This window comes from Homo sapiens, chromosome 1 (assembly GCF_000001405.40).
Source record: "Homo sapiens chromosome 1, GRCh38.p14 Primary Assembly".
NCBI classification, from domain to species: domain Eukaryota; kingdom Metazoa; phylum Chordata; class Mammalia; order Primates; family Hominidae; genus Homo; species Homo sapiens.
The window spans coordinates 156094408-156112073 of record NC_000001.11 but is presented as its reverse complement, the minus strand read 5'-3'; the positions used below and the strand labels follow the sequence as shown (position 1 = coordinate 156112073).

At 52.4% G+C, this 17666-nt stretch overlaps 1 protein-coding gene across 8 annotated transcripts in view, besides 10 other annotated features; it reads right to left on the bottom strand.

The window, feature by feature from the left end:
- The window catches only part of LMNA (lamin A/C), a 57509-nt gene that overhangs the window by 28008 nt on the left and 11835 nt on the right, over window positions 1–17666 (bottom strand). For 4 of the 8 annotated variants that reach the window (NM_001406991.1, NM_001406993.1, NM_001406992.1 and 1 more), the window contains exon 1: window positions 5251–5358. The exons of the other annotated variants lie outside the window; for them this stretch is intronic. The gene's annotated coding sequence lies outside the window, so the exon portion shown is untranslated. Of the gene's footprint in view, window positions 1–5250; window positions 5359–17666 lie in introns of those variants that run through there. 8 annotated transcript variants of the gene reach the window in all.
- Window positions 4087–4828: an enhancer, noted in NCBI's record as "H3K27ac-H3K4me1 hESC enhancer chr1:156077037-156077778 (GRCh37/hg19 assembly coordinates)". NCBI's record gives its function as "activates a minimal SCP1, AML or CMV promoter by ChIP-STARR-seq in naive H9 embryonic stem cells {active_cell/tissue: H9 hESC(naive)}" and the evidence as "EXISTENCE:reporter gene assay evidence [ECO:0000049][PMID:30033119]".
- Window positions 4829–5572: an enhancer, noted in NCBI's record as "H3K27ac-H3K4me1 hESC enhancer chr1:156076293-156077036 (GRCh37/hg19 assembly coordinates)". NCBI's record gives its function as "activates a minimal SCP1, AML or CMV promoter by ChIP-STARR-seq in naive H9 embryonic stem cells {active_cell/tissue: H9 hESC(naive)}" and the evidence as "EXISTENCE:reporter gene assay evidence [ECO:0000049][PMID:30033119]".
- Window positions 4829–9562: a biological region, named in NCBI's record as "VISTA enhancer hs2129".
- Window positions 5016–9562: an enhancer, noted in NCBI's record as "VISTA enhancer hs2129". NCBI's record gives its function as "enhancer in: heart[14/17]" and the evidence as "EXISTENCE:transgenic organism evidence [ECO:0001131][PMID:17130149]".
- Window positions 5572–5791: an enhancer, noted in NCBI's record as "active region_1840". NCBI's record gives its function as "activates an Ori minimal core promoter by ATAC-STARR-seq in GM12878 lymphoblastoid cells {active_cell/tissue: GM12878}" and the evidence as "EXISTENCE:reporter gene assay evidence [ECO:0000049][PMID:35858748]".
- Window positions 6317–7060: an enhancer, noted in NCBI's record as "H3K27ac-H3K4me1 hESC enhancer chr1:156074805-156075548 (GRCh37/hg19 assembly coordinates)". NCBI's record gives its function as "activates a minimal SCP1, AML or CMV promoter by ChIP-STARR-seq in primed H9 embryonic stem cells {active_cell/tissue: H9 hESC(primed)}" and the evidence as "EXISTENCE:reporter gene assay evidence [ECO:0000049][PMID:30033119]".
- Window positions 7805–8548: an enhancer, noted in NCBI's record as "H3K27ac-H3K4me1 hESC enhancer chr1:156073317-156074060 (GRCh37/hg19 assembly coordinates)". NCBI's record gives its function as "activates a minimal SCP1, AML or CMV promoter by ChIP-STARR-seq in naive H9 embryonic stem cells {active_cell/tissue: H9 hESC(naive)}" and the evidence as "EXISTENCE:reporter gene assay evidence [ECO:0000049][PMID:30033119]".
- Window positions 13731–14604: an enhancer, noted in NCBI's record as "H3K27ac-H3K4me1 hESC enhancer chr1:156067261-156068134 (GRCh37/hg19 assembly coordinates)". NCBI's record gives its function as "activates a minimal SCP1, AML or CMV promoter by ChIP-STARR-seq in naive H9 embryonic stem cells {active_cell/tissue: H9 hESC(naive)}" and the evidence as "EXISTENCE:reporter gene assay evidence [ECO:0000049][PMID:30033119]".
- Window positions 13889–14048: an enhancer, noted in NCBI's record as "active region_1839". NCBI's record gives its function as "activates an Ori minimal core promoter by ATAC-STARR-seq in GM12878 lymphoblastoid cells {active_cell/tissue: GM12878}" and the evidence as "EXISTENCE:reporter gene assay evidence [ECO:0000049][PMID:35858748]".
- Window positions 14919–15168: an enhancer, noted in NCBI's record as "active region_1838". NCBI's record gives its function as "activates an Ori minimal core promoter by ATAC-STARR-seq in GM12878 lymphoblastoid cells {active_cell/tissue: GM12878}" and the evidence as "EXISTENCE:reporter gene assay evidence [ECO:0000049][PMID:35858748]".

Genomic DNA, 17666 nt, shown 5'->3' with positions numbered 1-17666 from the left:
CACTCCAAGCTCTTTCTAAAGGTTCCCTGCGACCACCATCAAAATGGCCTCAATCCTAAATCTGAACTTCAAAGTGAAACTTTATCCTGAATATTCAATCCTAACTCTGGACTCCAGATGTCATAAGTCTGCTCTCCCTTTGCCAGGGCAAAAATCACCAACCCAGAAGCAGCAGCCAGGTCCAGAGGAGCTGAGCCTGCTGGAGGTGAGAGGTGATGGGAGTGGTGGCTAGAGGGTGACCACATTCTAATCCTACCTCTTAACTGCTGAGTGATGCTAGATCTGCTACTGAATTCTCTGGACCTCAGTTTTCTTACCTGTAGTATGGGTAGAGTGGCTATCAAAGACGGGGACTGAGCTCCTGGGTGTGCAAGAGTTCTGCACACTATGCCACAGGGTGATAGCAATACTATGCTTGCTCCCAAGGGAGCCTCCCACCAGTGGGAAAGACAGAGGGAGAAGCAAAACCAACAAGCACAAATGATTAAAGAGCAGTAGAGGACTCTGAATTGGATGAATTCCAAAGGGATCCCAGAAGTCTGGGAGCTGGAGCATGCATGAGTGAAATCAGCATGCAGTGGTTGGGTCCAACGGACGGTTTGAGAATTTTTTTTTTTTTTTTTTGAGACAGAGTTTTGCTCTTGTCACCCAGGCTGAAGTGCAACAGTACAATCTCAGCTCACTGCAACCTCTGCCTCCCAGGTTCAAGCGCTTCTCCTGCCTTAGCCTCCTGAGTAGCTGGGATTACAGGCGTGTGCCACCACGCCCGGCTAATTTTTGTATTTTGAGTAGAGATGAGGTTTCACCATGTTGGCCAGGCTGGTCTCGAACTCCTGACCTCAAGTGCCCCCTCACCTTAGCCTCCCAAAGTGTGAGATTACAGGCATGAGCCACTGCACCAGGCCTAGGCACTTTATCTTGAAGACCAATGACCTTGATTGGGTGGGGGGGCTCCTCTGTGTTCTTATAGCATCCTAGTGTTTCCTCTGTGACCCCCATTCCTGAAAGTGCTGTGAGGGACAGAAAGGACCAAGTCTTGGTCATCTGTCTCCCTAACACCTGGCACACAGCAGGCACTCGGTGTTTCTAATTTTTTTTGAGTTGGAGTCTCGCTCTGTTGCCCAGGCTGGAGTGCAGTGGCACAATCTCGGCTCACTGCAACCTCTGCCTTCCATGTTCAAGCGATTTGCCTGCCTCAGCCTCAAGGGTTGCTGGGATTATAGGCACCCACCACCACACCCGGCTAATTTTTATATTTTTAGTAGACACAGGGTTTCCCCATGTTGGCCAGGCTGGTCTCGAACTCCTGACCTCAGATGATCTGCCTGCCTTGGCCTCTCAAAGTGCTGGGATTACAGGCATGAGCCACCGCACCCAGCCTCTTTATTTTTTTAAGAGATGGGGGTCTCACTATGTTGCCAAGTTGGTCTTGAACTCCTGGAGTCAAGTGATCCTCCCACCTCAGCCTCCCAAAGTGCTGGGATCACGGGTGCCAGCCACCATGCCCAGCCCTCTCAGGGTTTCTTGGATAAACAAATGCATCTGGCCCTGCCACTTTTCAGGTCAGTGACTCTGGACAAGTTTTTCCAGCGTTAGTTTCATCATCTGTAAAATGGGGATGTGCAATAACTAAATAAGGTTACATACATTTGAAGGAGGGCTTCTTGGAGAAGGAAGATTTAGGGGCTTTACAGAACTGCCTTATACACAGAGAATTCATTCATTCAACAAATATTTATTGAACATCTACTATATACCAGGAACTATTCTAGACACCAGGGATGCAGAAGTGAATAAAACAGACAAAAATCCCTACCCTTATGGAGCTGACATTCTAGTGGAGGGAGACAGTCAATAAACCAAAGACAAAGTTATAGTTTGTTAGAACACGGTAGGAGCTATGGAAATAAAAATATAAAGCAGAGGCTGAGCATGGTGGCTCACACCCATAATCCCAATACTTGGGGAGTCCGAGACAGGCAGATTGCAGATTGCTTGAGCCCAGGAGTTCAAGACCAACCTGGCCAACATAGTGAAACCCCATCTCTTAAAAAAAAAATTAGCTGGGGGTGGTGGCACATGCCTCTAGTCCCAGCTACCCAGGAGGCTAAGATGGGAGGATCACCTGAGCTTGGGAGGTCAAGGCTGCAGTGAGCTGTGATTGCACTACTGCACTCCAGCCTGAGCAAGAGAGAAACCCTGTCTCAAAAAAAAAATTACATATATATGTGTGTGTGTATATATATATATATATGCACACACACACACACACACATACATACATGCATACATTTAGCAGAATAATGCTCACACAGTGAATAACTTACATTTTAACAATCTTTATAGTTGTTGCATGTTTTCATACATTCTCAACTGGGTCCATACAACAACCTCATGGGTTGGAAATTATTTCCCTGCTTTGCAGATGAGGCTGACTTTCCTAAAACTAGGCCGTAAGTAACAGGCCCAGTGCAGAACTGGGACCAGGCAGTCTGGTCCAAATCCTGGACATGCTTCTCTGTCTTCTGCCACTCTGGCTGGAGGAAGTCTGTGCAGAGGTGCTGAAGTGGGAAAAAGCTGAGTGTGCTCTGACCTGCCAAGGGGCATGGGGAGCCACTAGAGGTAAGGCTGGAAAGAGGGGGAAGAGAGACGGGAAGGGAGAAGTGGGAGGTGGAGGCAGGGGCCTGGTGCTGGGATGGGGCCTGAGGGAGAGGCTTCCAGCTGCTTGATAGGCCTTGAGGTCAAGGAGAGAAGGAAAGCATCAAGACCAGTGAAGAAAGAGTCAGGAGCACTGGCCTTGGCAAGAAATAAGCCAAACTAGGGTCCGGTGGGTTCAGCCCAGTGATGAAGCCAGGAGGGATTCCAGAGGCATGCTAAGAACCATTCGTGTAGGGAATATTTATGGACTACCTTTATTATTAGGCACTAGGTACTTGCATTATTTTGTTGGACCAATACAATAGCTCTACAAGGTAGATACTATTAATAGCCCTATTTTACAGATGAGGAAACTGAAGCCCAGAAAGGTTAAATTATTCATTTAAGGTCAGGTTTCTCAACCTTGGCACTACTGAATTTTGGGCCAGATAATTCTCTGTTGTCAGAGAAGGTTCTTTGTACTCTGAGATGGTTTGTAACATCCCTAGCCTCTCCCGACTTTAGGCCAGTAGCACTTCCATTCCCAGTTATGACAATCAAAAATATCTTCAGGCATTGCCTAACATCCCCTGGGGGATAAAATTACCCCTTATTGAGAATCACTTGTCTAAGGTCATATGGTTAGTAACAGAACTGGATTTTTTTTTTTTTGAGATGGAGTTTCGCCCGTTGCCTGGGCTGGAGTGCAATGGCACGATCTCAGCTCACTGCAACCTGCACCTCCTGAATTCAAGCGATTCTCCTGCCTCAGCCTCCCGAGTAGCTGGGACTACAACCATGCGCCACTAAAAAATTAGCCCAGCTAATTTTTTTGTATTTTTAGTAGAGACGGGATTTCACCATGTAACTCCTGACCTCAGGTGATCTGGTCACCTCAGCCTCCGAAAGTGCTGGGATTACAGGCATGAGCCACCACGCCCAGCCAGAACTGAAATTTTAATACGAGTTTGCCTGAATTGGAAAGCCAAGATCTTACCATCAGGTGGCTAGAACCCTGGACAGGTAGGAGTCAGAGACAGGCGACTCTTTGGAGGAGGGTCTGAGGAGGTGGAGGTGATGTACAGATTCTGGGACATGGTTTGGGAATCTCTTTATAGTGAGTTCTTGAGGGAGGGTCTTATTCATCCTTTGACTACAGGGTATTAAACAATGATTGAAGTGCTGAGTCACTCATGTGCAGGTGATAGTTATAACCTTGACAGTGGAAGACCGTGCCTACTCTTTAAGGGGCTGCCATGTGCCAGCAACCAGGCTAGGGGCTATATGGAGGTGATCCCATTTAATCTTCACCTCAATCTTATGAGGTAGGTATTATTATCTGCATTTTATGTGTCAAGAACCCAAATTCCGGCTGGGAGCAGTGGCTCACACCTGTAATCTCAGCATTTTGGGAGGCTGAGGTGGGTGGATTACTTGAGGTCAGGAGTTCAAGACCAGCCTGGCCAACATGGTAAAACTCCATCTCTACCAAAAATACAAAAAATCAGCTGGGCGTGGTGGCATGCACCTGTAATCCCAGCTACTCAGGGAGCTGAGGCAGGAGATCATGTCACTGCACTCCAGCCTGGGTGACAGAGTGAGACTCCATCTCAAAAAAAAAGAAAAAAAAGAAAAAAAAAACAACAACCCAAACTCCACGAGGTTGTAATTGACCTGAGGTAGCACAGCTGAGTAGATTTCTTCTCAGGCTCAGCAAGGGGGAATGAGGCAGGCTCATAGGTGGTGCCGGGTGAGAAGCGGGCCCTTAGATGGAGCAAGTGAATGACAGCTATTTGTAAAGTCAGAGATCCCCCTCACTCAAATGAAATCTCACCCAAAAAGCACAATCTACTAAATGACAGAGGCAGAGCTTCTCTACTTAGGGAGCTTGAGGCCCCTGCCTGGTTGATCCCCCCAGCCCACTTCCAGGAGGCCCCTGGGCTCTGAGGAATAAGCCCCTTTCTTTATAAGTGGAATTCTGAGGCCAGAGGAGGAAAGATTTGCCCAAAGTCACACAGCCAGGCAGGGTCAAAACCTCCAAGACAGCACTGCAGCTCAGTGCCACGCTGCCATGGGAGACAGGGCAGCCACACTGGACAGATGTCAAAGAGCAGGTCCACTTAGGGACTGGCATGGGTTCCTACAAAGTCGGGAAGTGGCTGCTGGGCTCACTGAGCCAGCGGGGCTGGAGGGGCGACTGGATAAGTAGTAACCAAGCCCTCCCACCTGCCCCAGTCCCCCCGGTGACAAGCTTTTCACAATCAAGGTTACTACCTTAGCCTTCTCAAATTTCTTTGAGGTGCACAGGCAAGCACCATTATCTGCATATTACAGCTGAGGAGACAGAGGCTTAGGCAGGCTAACTGATTGTCTCCAGGCCACACAGCTGACAAGTGACAGAAGCAGGCCCAAACCCCAGGTTTCTGCCTCCAGGTTAAATATACTCTTTCCCTCTTCGACCCAGATCCCAAGGAACCCAATCCAACAGCAAAATCCTACAGTCTCCCCAGGAGCTCCATTCCCGGCATTCCAAACCACCTCCCCCACCCAACCAGGCCCAAATCGCCACCTCACTTGTGAGTCTCAGGCTCCCTGAACTGTCACAATACACACCAGACTATTGCCAGTCAAATAGAAATCGGGCAGCAGGCAGAAGGAAATTCAGCAGAAATTCAGCAGTGACATCTCCTTCCTTTCTCTTGTCCATCCCCGAGCTTTGGCCCCTCACCACCTGGGGGAAGGTGTTAAGGGGGGAACGCTGCCGGGGGCGGTGGGGGGGTGGGGACAGAGGCGTGGGGGGGTGGGGACAGAGGCGTGGGTGGGGCCATGTGGGCCGGCGGCGTCCCAGGCAAATCAGTAGGGGCGGGTAGTCGGACTGGATTCAGGCGGGGCTGTTCTCCCCACTCCACACCCCGCAGGCGGGCAGCGAGGGCCTGACGGCTGGTGCTGACGCAGGCGACTGCGTGTGGGCGGCCGCGTGTGAGTCTGTGTGTCTCTGTGTGTGTGTGGTTGCTGGGGCCTCCCCGGCCTCCTAAATGGGGGTTTCCTTTCCCTGTTGCCAAGGAAACAAACAGAAGCGCCACAACTCCAGGACTGGAGCTGGAGGAGAGGGCCCCCTCGCCCCATAGCTCACGCCCCTACACATTTCCAGGAAGTGAGGCAGAAAAGGATTCCCTTTCTCCCTCACCCTCAACCCAGTGTGGGCCAAATGTTTGTGGAGCCTGAAACTAGGGTGGGCAATTGCCCTGGGTTTGCCGGGGACTGAGGAGTCTCCTAGGATAAGGGAATTTTTTTTTTTTTTTGAGACGGAGTCTCGCTGTGTCTCCCAGGCTGGAGTGTAGTGGCGCGATCTCGGCTCACTGCAAGCCCCGCCTCCCGGGTTCACGCCATTCTCCGGCCTCAGCCTCCCTAGTACCTGGGACTACAGGAGCCAGCCACCACGCCCCGCTATTTTTTTGTTTTTTGTTTTCTGTTTTTTTTTAAGTAGAGACGGGGTTTCACCGTGTTAGCCAGGATGGTCTCGGTCTCCTGGCCTCGTGATCCGCCTGCCTCGGCCTCCCAAAGTGCTGGGATTACAGGCGTGAGCCACCGTGCCTGGCCAGATAAGGGACTTTTAATGCTAAAATAGGGACAGTTGTTCATCCTACCTAAAGTGCACACAATTTTGTGGGGAGGCCCTCTTTAAGAAATACAAAATGATCTTTTTGCAAATGTTATGGACATGGGATCATGTGGAAAGTTTGGCAGGGCTCCTCTTCGGGTCTTGAAAGGGCCCGTGCAACTGAGAGGCCCTGAAACTTCACTTTCCTTTGCTCCCTGGTGAATCCACTCCAGTCCACAGCCCCTGCAGCCCTCACACTCCTCAAGGTCCCCGTTGAAAGCTCTCCTCTGGCCCTCAGGCCAGGAGGTCAACTAGGAAAGTGAACTCCCAGCCAGGAGGGTGGTGGTGAATCTGCAGGAGATTTCCTGGCCGCTGGGGTGGAGCAAGGGGCACTCTCAGGAGGAGTGGGGAGGGGGGCTGCCAAGTAGAGTAGGGATGGCTGGGGTCTCCGCCCTGTGGGATGGGGAAGGGACTGCACTTGGGCCAGCGTTTCATCATTCATTGCCTAGAAGTAGAACTTCAGAGCTGGGAGGAGTCTTAAGGCATCGTGCAGCCCAACCACCTCCCTTCTAGATCCACATTAGTCCAACTCCCCAGATTCCCCTGTCTGCTATCCCTAAGCCAGCCCACAGGCCCGCCCCAGAGGAGCACCCCATTGGCCCTCTTTGCCGGGTGAGCTCCAAGCTTGCACAGCATGCCAAGAGCCCACCTCACTTTGGCCTTGACCTCTGAGGGGCTCTCCGTCAGTGACAGGTAATGAGAAAACCACTGGGGGAGGAGGATGAGAGGGGTCTGGCTGGGAAGGACAGGAAGACAGGCTAAAACTGGCATGCTCTCAGGCCCTGGCCCGCTCAGGCTACCCAGGGAGGAGCTAAGGGGGCATCTGTTTCCTCTTGGCCATGGTCCCCTCAGTCCTACCCCAGAGGAGGTGAAAATGGTGCTGGCTTCCTGATGCAGAGCTTCCTGGCCTGGGAGTGCAGTATGGGGTCCAGCAAAACATTCCCATATGCCCTCTCTTCTCTCCCCTTGGAGCTTGGTGGAGCTAAGGTTTAGAGGTGGAAGGTGTGTTTCCTGTTGGAGGAAAGGAAAGAGATGTTGGGGCTAACTGAGCACCGACGACGCACTAGCCGTTGCCAGGCTGGGGTCCCAGTGAGATGTAGCGGGGGAGAAGCAGAGGACCTGTGTGGCTTAGGGGGTGGGACCTCACTCAGGCCCCTTGGTGAATGGATCCAGGAGTGGAGGATGGACGAGAGAGACCTGGGCACAGAGGATGAGTGGGGATGAAGGAGAGTAAAAGGGAGACAGGGAAGAGGTTGGGGAGGAAATCAACCATGAGGGAGGGGGTGAGGACCACATTTAGAATCCAGTCCAGGGGGCTCTGGAATAGGGAACTGAACAGAGGGGAGACTCATAAATTGAGGAGGGGGCAACTACCTCGGCTGACGCCAGTGCTCCAGCCCCAGATCCTGTTGGGGCAAATATTTACCAGACGACAACAGTTGCTAAGCAAGGAGGAAGGAGGAGGGAGGCCAGTAGCTGCAGGCCCTTCCAGGCTCCTCCCCAACAAAAGCCAGCCTACACAGGCCTGAGCCACCGCTCCCCACCCGAGCTGGGAGGCTGAGCTATACCCCTCCATACACGCACCTCTTGGGATCACCCCGACCCCTGCCGCCCAACACGCCCAAGCTGGCAATATGCCAGAGAGCTGGGCTAAGGGAAAATCCCTGGGCTGCCAGGCCTTCCCTCTACTCTGGGACATCTCTTGGGGCTCAGACCTTGCAAAATGTCCCCTTCCCAATCCCTCCTTCAGTGGGGGCTGTGAAGGGGGGAGCCAAGGAGTGTGGATATGATGAGGGAGGGTGTGCTGAAGAATGGAGCCAGGATGTCCCAGGAACTGAGGCCGGGTTCGGGGAAGGAAAGGAGTGACTCCACTAGAGGCTTCGAAAGGGCAGGGGAGCAGGGCTGGTGGAGCCAGAGAAGGGGGTCCAGAGGGCCACTCCCTACTCTGGTCCTTGGGCAGGGGAGGGCGTTGAGGGATAAAGAGCAGGGAGGGTGGGGTATGTTCAAATGGAGCCAGATGTGGCCCTGTGATGTGGGCTGTTGTTGGCACAGGCACAGCAGGGGCAGGACATGCCACTGCCGATGGAAAGGATTAGTCAGAAACTGGGAGGGGGCAGCCCCCGGAGAGGGGACACAGGAGAGCTAGTCCAGGACCCCTTCCTTCTCCCCGCCCGAATGAGGGCTTGCAAGGAGGGGTTGGCTAGGGGTATGCGCTGCCCTCCCATCTCCTCCTCAAGGGGGCCACCATCTGCCCACCATCCTTAAGGTTCCCACCCATTTTCCTGGCTGAGCCTCAGCTACTGTATGCAAAATGGGGATCCTGGCACCCTCCCCACAGCTGTTAGAGGAGTCCCAGACAGAGGAAGTGCGAGGGCCCAGCACACAAGAGGGGCATACTGGGGGCCCTCTTCCTTGGCGGCCTCATTAGGATGAGGACCCTCCTCTGCAAGACTTCTCCCTGGGGGTCGATCGCTGGCTTCTCACCCTCAGCCACAGGCCCTCTGGAAACTGGGATGCAGAGATGGGCGGGAAGGACTGGTAGGCAGGACACAAAGAGGAAGCTGTGGGGGCAGGAAGGAGGTTCCTAGAGCCCAGGACTTCCTGGTGCCTATGGAGGTTCTCCAGGGTTGGAGGGTTGGCCAGAGCAGCTGCAGGGACAAAGTCCCCAGCTCAGCTGCAGCCCCCATGGGTCCACCTTGAGGCAAGGATAGATGAGGGCTTGGCTGTGAAATGAAACCAGGGGAGAGACGGAAGCTGCACCACGGGATGGACTTCTCAGTGCCTCTGCAACAGCACAAGTCCCCAGGGAGAAGTGGGAAGGGATCCCAGGAAATAAGGCAGACCCGAAGGGTGGGCCGGGACGCAGCAGTTACGGGAAGACCTATAGACACAGCATATGGGACCCTTGGAGAGCTGGGCCCAAGCTGGCAACCAAAAGACTGTTGTTTTCCAAACTCCCATCGGAAAGTTTGAAAAATACACATGGAAACGTGACTCACTGCCCCCTCCCCATGGCCCCCCTTTCCTGATTTCTGTGATTTTTCTCCCAAGAGTTAATTCAAGTCACATTCCCACAGAAACCAAAGCTTAATGAAGGAGCGCAAAGAGCCGGCTGCAGGAGGCCAGAGGCGCCCAGGAGGGGCTGGAAATGGAGATGAGCACTGGGTGGGCCAGGGCAGACTGGGCTGCGGCGTTCTGCCCACTGTGGAACGCCTCGGGTGGGGGAAAATTCAGCTCTCTCGAGGGTGGAGATGGAAGGGTTCATTCACACCACCTAAACCAAACCATCTTGAAGACCCAGTTTTAGGACAAGAATGAGCCCTTGGGTGCTCACAGCTCCTAACCAGAGGTGACAGAACCAGGACTGAAACCTGGGTGCCCTTGCCCTGCCTGGGTGTCTGCGGTATGTCAACTGTACCTTGCTGCCCTCTGTACCCCAGGCCCAGAGAACTTGCTTTCTGGCCTCTTACTCAGAATCCATTCCTGGGGCCACAACTGAGCCTAGAAGTCCAGGATGGGGGAAGTGAGGAACACCCCTGAATTCACTCACCTCCACTCCACTGTCCCGCCCCCGTGTATCACGGAGCAGGTGCACAGGCACATTCCTCCCTTTGGGCTGGGGAGCATCAAGGCCGGCCTGCCCCAACAGGGTATTTCTGAGCCAGGAATTCCCAGCCTGTCCCAGAGAGACTAGGGAAGGCGAGGGCCTGGCACTGGGCCAAGGGTGAGTGGCCTTCCACTCTTGAGAATTCTTAGAAGACGACCCCAAGTATTCCCAGACCAGGAGTGATTCCTAAGCATCCATAACTCATCATCACTCCTTGGATATCTCAGATGGAGTTCATGTCTCCCAACACACAGCTTCACTCTGCTCCTCCTTCCTCAGCCTCTCCTCCTTCATCTCCCTTGGCCAATGAGCCCCCAAGTCCTTGTGGTTCCTACCTCCAGAATTGTTATCTGTTCTATGTTCTACCTCCAGCTCTCTGGTCTGCTCACCACCAACCCCCACCTGGATAACTGCAGCGGCCTCACAACCAGTCTCTCTGCCTCCACCCTTGCCTCTGCTCCCATCCTTTCTCCTCTATAAACCATAGTGATTCCCTCGCTCCCTCCCTCCCTCCCTCCCTCCCTCCCTCCCTTCCTTCCTTCCGTCCTTCCTTCCTGGGTAACTGCAGCAGCCTCCCAACCAGTCTCTCTGCCTCCACCCTTGCCTCTGCTCCCATTGTTTCTCCTTCCCACAGTGATTCCCTCCCTCCCTTCCTTCCTTCCCTCTCTCCTTTTGAGACAGGATCTTGCTTTGTCATCCAGCAGGCTGGAGTGCATTGGTGCAATCATAGCTCACTGCAATCCAAAATTCATGGGCTCAAGTGATCCTCCTGCCTCAGCCTCCTGAGTAGCTGGGACCAGGTTCATGCAACCACAACCAACTAATTATTTTTATTTTTATTTGTAGAGCTGGGGTCTCACTTTGTTGCCCAGGCTATTCTCGAACTGCGGGGCTCAAAGAGATCCTTCCACCTTGACCTCCTAAAAGTGTTGGGATTATAGGCGTGAGGTGCCACGCCCAGCCCACAGCGATCTTTTCAAAATGAAAGCCTCATTTTGTTTCCAGAAGACTTTAAACTAACAGTGGCTCCACATTGTATTTAGGATAAGTCCAAATTCCTTGACCTGACTTGTAATGCCCTCCGAGACCTAGGCTCTGCTTGCATCTCTAGCCTTATCTAAATTCCAGCAATCTCAACCTCTCTCATTGCTTTCTGACTAATTTTTCCAGACATGGCATTTACTTTACCCTCTGATCAACTCCTACTCATCATCCAGGCTCAGCTAAAAGTGCCACTAAGTCTGGATTAAATGTCCCCACTCGCCACCAGTATCCCTTGTCACACTGTCTGTGACATTGTCTGTGTATGTGTGTCTTCCCCCATTAGAGGGACTCCTCAAGGGTAGAGACTGGGTGGATCTGGTGCTCTGCCAGCACCTGGCACAGTGCCTGGTGCACAAAAGGTTCTCAATACATGTTTGAGTAGAGTATCCTCATCATAGCCCCCTCACCAACCAGCAACCTCGATGTGCTCTACTCCTTCCTCTACTCTTCCCACACACCTTACTCCTCAGCACCTCATTCTAAACTCCCCTTCCTCCTGCAGGCCCCACCTTCACTGCCTCCCTTCATCTGAGCTCCCTGTGTGCACTGCAACCAGGCCTCCCTCCAACCTAGCCTGGGGCACGGTCACAATAACAATAGTAAGGAGAGCTACTGTTTAGAGAGCACTCACCATGTGTCAGGACCTGTTCTAGGCTCTTTCCATTCCTTGGCTCATTTCATAACCAGCAGGAGCTAAAAAAGGGGGTTGGCCCTATGACCTAACTTGTCTGATGGTTCAGGACAGGTCCCTCCAGGAGATTATTAACTCCATAGTCACCATGTGTAAAGGAGATGGGTGTGCACTAGACCTCGATAAAAGTTTTTCAAGGGAAGGAACAATATAATTGCCTACCTATAAAGCAGGTCCTATCACTAGTAAAACATTATGTCTGGGCAGCCCTGGGAGGTGAGCATGGCAAGGTCATTATTCTCATTTTATAGAGGAGAACTCCCTCTAAGTGAGTGGAGAGGAACCTGCTTCCAGCCACACTGGTGGTAATGAGCTCTCTTCCAAAGTGCAGCACCTCCAGGGCTATGCAGAGGGGTCCTGAGTGGTATGTGACAGGGAGGTGCTATGCCAGGCTGGATGGAGCCCTCCAGACCATTCATCTAGTGATCTCAACCCTCACTGGGCATCAACATTGCTTGGAGGAAGGGGGCTTTCAAAACTGCAAATGCCCAAAGTCTTGGATATTTTGATTAGTAATTGATCTGGGGTGACACATGGGCATTTTTCTTTTTTTTTTTTTTTTTTTTGTCACCCAGGCTGGAGTGCAGTGGCACCATCTCGGCTCACTGCAGCCTCTGCCTCCTGAGCTCAAGCAATTCTTTTGCCTCAGCCTCCTGAGTAGCTGAGATTACAGGTGCACACCAGCACGCCCAGCTAATTTTTGTATTTTTAGTAGACTCTGTAGGGTTTTCGCCATGTTGGCCAGGCTGGTCTTGAACTCCCAAGCTCAGATGATCCACCACCTCGGCCTCCTAAAGTGCTAGGATTACGGTGTGAGCCACTATGCCTGGCCTAAATTATTTTTTAGAGATGGTGTCTTACTCTATTGTCCCTCACTGCAGCCTTAAAACTCCTGGGCTCAAGCAATCCTCCTGCCCCAGCCTCATGTGTAGCTAGGACAGAACTTTTATTATCAGTTCCATTTTACAGGTGAGAAAACAAAGCACAAAGGGTCCAATGTTGCACAATTAATAAACGGTGGAGCTGGGATTCAAACCCTAGAGACCTAGCTTCAAAGGCCACATTCTCAACCTTGACTCCATAGCTGTCAACCCCAAAGTTGCAAAGCAGCCAGTGGTGGAGCTAGGCCCAGAATGCAAGTCTCCTCTGGGCAGAAAAGTCAGAGAGCCAGTGAAGGTGAATAAACCAAGGCCAGAAAAGCCACAATCCAGGCCTAGAAGGCTAGTAGCTCCTAGGAGCTAAGGAACTAAGGCCTAATTGCTAAGGAGAGGGCTCCAGGGCCCTCTCCTTCAAAGGGAAGGAAGGGGCTGACAGTGGGGCAGCCTTTGCCTGCCTGCCTCCCTCCCTGCCAACGGGGAGCCCTGACCAACCCCAGCTGAGTTGTCACCTCCCTGTGCTAATTGATGCAGCTTCCTAATTGCCCATCATGAGGAGGCAATTAAGCCCGATTAGAAAGCCAGAGCTAATTAGTGCTCAGCTTCCCACAGCCTCTGGGCACCCCAGGGGTCTACAGGAACCTGCTGCCCACCCCCAGGGAGAACTGTTGCTTGTATCAAGCATACTGGAAGTTTATGTTCCTCCCTTTCTCTCCCAAGGATGGGGGTGGGAGGGGTGAGCATCATGGCTTACCCCTTACCTTTGCACTGCAGGGTAGCTCTATCTCAGTCCCACTAGACATGACTTGCCTTCCCTGACAACTGACAACATTCATGTCACCCCACAGTTCACAAGTACTCTCCCACCACCCCCTCCATCCTCTCCACAAGCCTGCAGGTAGGGTATCCTGAGTTACCACTGGGGCTCAGAAAAGGTAAGTGATTTGTCTGGGATCACACAGCCCATTTTGACCACAGATCTTGTACCCCTAACATACATATGTGAGAAGTCTTTCCCATGATCTCACCTCAGTTATTCCTGATGTAACATGGTAGACAGTCGGGCCATGAGTTGCGTACCTTCTTTTCACATGGCATTTTATGCTAGGTTATCCAATTTCATCTGTCTCACTCCATCTGTTCATCTACCTGACTCCCATCCTAAGAACTCAATGCCAAATTCAAGAAGTCCTTTCTGGGATTACAGAACCTGAAGTCTGTGGACAGGGAATCTAGTTCACTCTTCCATTAACTTGCTCTGTGACCTCAGAAAAATTGCTCCCCTTCTATGAGCCTCAGCTTTCACACCTTCAAAACAAGAGAACCAGACTGGAAGATTTCTAAGGTCTTTCCAACCTCCATCCCTTCTACTACAAGGGAATAGATGATGAGGGCCTGAACTATGCTCTTGCATGCTATCAAGGCCCAGGGTGAGATGGGCATACCCCTTTTGTACTGAAATTGTGTGGGCCCCAAAGCTGAACAAGAATGAAACTATCCTGACAGGGACTAAAAGGCTGGGAACTCCCAGGCTATAGCAGAAGCTGGAGGATAGGGGTGATGGTGGTGGGTGGTGTAGACATGATGATCACACACACACACACACGCACGCACACACGCACACGCACCCCTGCCCCTAGGACCAGGGCAGAGAGAAAACGGTGGGGGAGCTACCATCCAGTTGGATGGACTGGAACTGGGGCCTACTCTCTTGGGCTTGGAGGAGAGTGAGAGGTAGGCTGGCTGCCCAGGTTCTGGCCCACATTAGGCCATGCAGTTGGCCAGCTTTCCTCCGTATCAGTGTTGGGCTCGCATAGGGCAGGGCAGGCAGGGAGGCTAGGGGCCTTGGGGTCCATCTCCTCTGGGGTCTGAACCATCCTCTAACTCTCATGCTCCTGCTCTTCCTTTTCTGCTTTCTGGGCCTTCCCAAGCATGGTAAAGAGTCAGGCTAGCCTGGGTTCCAATCCTGGCTCTGCCACTCATGTCCTGCCCATGGCACCGTGGGCCAGGCTGAGAGTTTCCTCTTTGATAAAACAGGGATAACGGTAATTCCATAGGACTGTTGTGAGCAATAAGTGATATAAGTGATATGTGCATGTACGGCGTGGAGCAAAGCGCCTGCCCCTTATTGGGGCTCAGTTCTGCCATCCCTCAGTTTCCCTGCCAGTAGCTGGCAGAGCAGAGATCCAAGGCCTGGGCTGGGGGAATGCATGCTCAGCAGTGAGAAGGAGCCACAAGGCATCCGGTCCCCAGCACCAGGTCACTCTGCAGCCTTCCCTTTCCTGTGGTGAATCACTGCTTGCGGGCCCTGGGGACCCAGGAGTCCCCAGCTTGCCACAAACACTACCGTTGTCATGGAAACCGGGCCTCCCCTTCCTCTCTCACTGATTGATTTCACCGCAGCTTCTCCCACATTGTGTCTGGTTCCTAGATCTCAGCTTTTGACTCACTGACTGACTTCACCGCCTCTCATTTCATGTCCTCAAGAGAATAGCAGCCTCATCAGGACCCCCAACCTCTCAGGTTGGCCCCTTTCCCAGGTGACCACCACTTCCTTCCCTGCCGTGTTAGGCTGGACATCCCCTAGGAAAACATCTTTCTGGGAGGGGTGAGCGAGAGTCTGCCCCCGAGCCCCAGGGCTTGGAACTTCACCCAGGCCTCAGGACCCCATCTCTCCTGCCCCAGCTGAGAACCCTCAGCGCCTGGGCATGAGATGAGCAAGCGCAAGGGAGGTGGCCAAGGGGAGAGACCGACAGGCCCTGGCGCCACCTGCTGGCCCAGCGGAGACCAGCCCCACCTTCTCCTTCCCTGTGGGTGCATCCAGGCTAGTCCTGAGTGGCAGGAGGCCCTGACTGTGTCCTTCCAGAGGAGACATTCCACATCATTCATTCATTCACAGATATTTACTCAGTACCATCTGGGTGCCAAAGACAGCTTTCATCTTCATGGATAAAGTAATTAATGTGTGATGAGTGCCTCCAAACGCTGGGGAGCAGAAAACCCGGCACCTAACCCGGTCTGCGGTTGTGTGGCAGGCCTGCCTGAGGAAGGGATGATTAAGCTGAGTCCTGGATAATAATCACCAACATTTATTAAGCACTTTCTGTGTACTAGACAGTATGTCAGTACTTTACATGCCTCTTCCCACTAATTGCACAACAATCCCATGAGGTAATTGCTACTATTAGCTTCACTTTATAGATGGGAAAACAGGTTCAGAGATGTGCGGTAATTTGCATAGGGCTCACAGGTAATACACAGTGCACTGCCACCCACCTACAGGATCCTGCTTGAATAGCCAGTCAGAAAGGGAGAAGCAAGTGTGTTCCAGGCAGAGGAAACGGAAGGGGGAGCCCCTGGCTGTGTAGACAGAGGAGGAGAGATGGGCAAAGAAGGCCAAAAAGGAACACCCAGAAGGTGGAGAAAAGCCAGGGAGAAAATCAAGACTTCAGAGGGAAAGGAGGCATGTGTTGGGTCAGAGGTCAAAAGCAAAGCAACATAAAAGCTGAGACTAGACTCAGCATCACTCTCAGGGAGCCCTGGGCAGTGTGGGAAGGTGGGGCACAGAAACACAGGAGGCCAGAGTAGATCACGCCTCTGCTCAGGTCTGAGTGTCAGAGCTGGAGCCAATCCATACCCCTGAGTAGTCTGTGAAGGCTGCCTGGGAGAGACATGTACAGTTACCCGCCTGGAAGGGCATGCAAGTGCCTCTAGGATATGGGCAATAAGCAGGACCAGGCAGCCTGAGTGTAACTCTCCAGGTTCTGGGACTGAACACAAGAATTAATTAGAAGTGTGGGGAGGTAATAGAGTGGGGAGCAGCCTGACCTCTAACCCCCAGACTCCTGGGGGAGCTGGAAGAGGGCCTAGTACAAGGATGTTGGCGTTAGAAGTGTCTTGGACACCGGGCGCAGTGGCTCACGCCTGTAATCCCAGCACTTTGAGAGGCCGAGGCGGGTGGATCACCTGAGGTCAGGAGTTCGAGACCAGCCTGCCCAACCTGGTGAAACCCCGTCTCTACTAAAAATACAAAAAAGAAAAAAAAAAAAAGCATTAGCTGGGTGTGGTGGCAGGTGCCTGTAATCCTAGCTACTCAGGAGGCTAAGGCAGGAGAATCACTTGAGAAGAGGAAACTGAGATGGGGAGTGACTCATTCAGTATCACATGGTCATTTTATTCCTTTCATTCATTCAATCAATCATTTACTCAATAAATTTTTATTGAATGCCTCCTATATGCTAGGTTTTGGAGAGACACATCCCTTATTCATGGAGAGCGATCAGTCCGAGTAACATGAACACACAAACTGGCTTTGAAAGCACTGGGAGTTGGCCGGGTGCAGTGGCTAACGCCTGTAATCCCATCACTTTGGGAGGCTGAGGAGGACAGATCACCTGAGGTCAGGAGTTCAAGACCAGCCTGGCCAACATGGTGCAACCACATCTCTAATAAAAATACAAAAATTAGCCGGTAGCCGGGCATGGTGGCGTGCGCCTGTAGTCCCAGCTACTTGGGAGGCTGAGGCAGGAGAATCACTTGAACCAGCAAGGCGGAAGTTGCAGTGAGTGCACGCCACTGTACTCCAGCCTGGGCGACAGAGCAAGACTCCGTTCTCAAAAAAAAAAAAAAAAATTAGCTGGTTGTGGTGACAAACGCCTGTAATCTCAGCTACTTGGGAGGCTGAGGCAGGAGAATCACTTGAACCCAGGAGGCGGAGGTTGCAGTGAGCCGAGATCATGCCACTGCACTCCAGCCTGGGTGACAGCACAAGACCCCATCAAAAAAAAAGAAAGCACTAGGAGCTAAGTGCTAACAAATGGGTAAATACTGAGTGCCACAGCAGACTTGGGGGTATATGTAAGACCATCAGCATGGTCAGGAAGGCCTCTCAGAAGACACAACTCCTCCTTGGCCAGGTGCGGTGGCTCACGCCTGTAATCCCAGCACTTTGGGAGGCCAAGGTGGGCAGATCACGAGGTCAGGAGTTTGAGATAGCACAGGCCAAAGCCCTGGCCAATATGGTAAAACCCTGTCTCTACTAAAAATACAAAAATTAGCCAGGCATGGTGGCACGCCTCTGTAGTCCCAGCTACTCGGGAGGCTGAGGCAGAAGAATCACTTGAACCCGGGAGGCAGAGGTTGCAGTGAGCC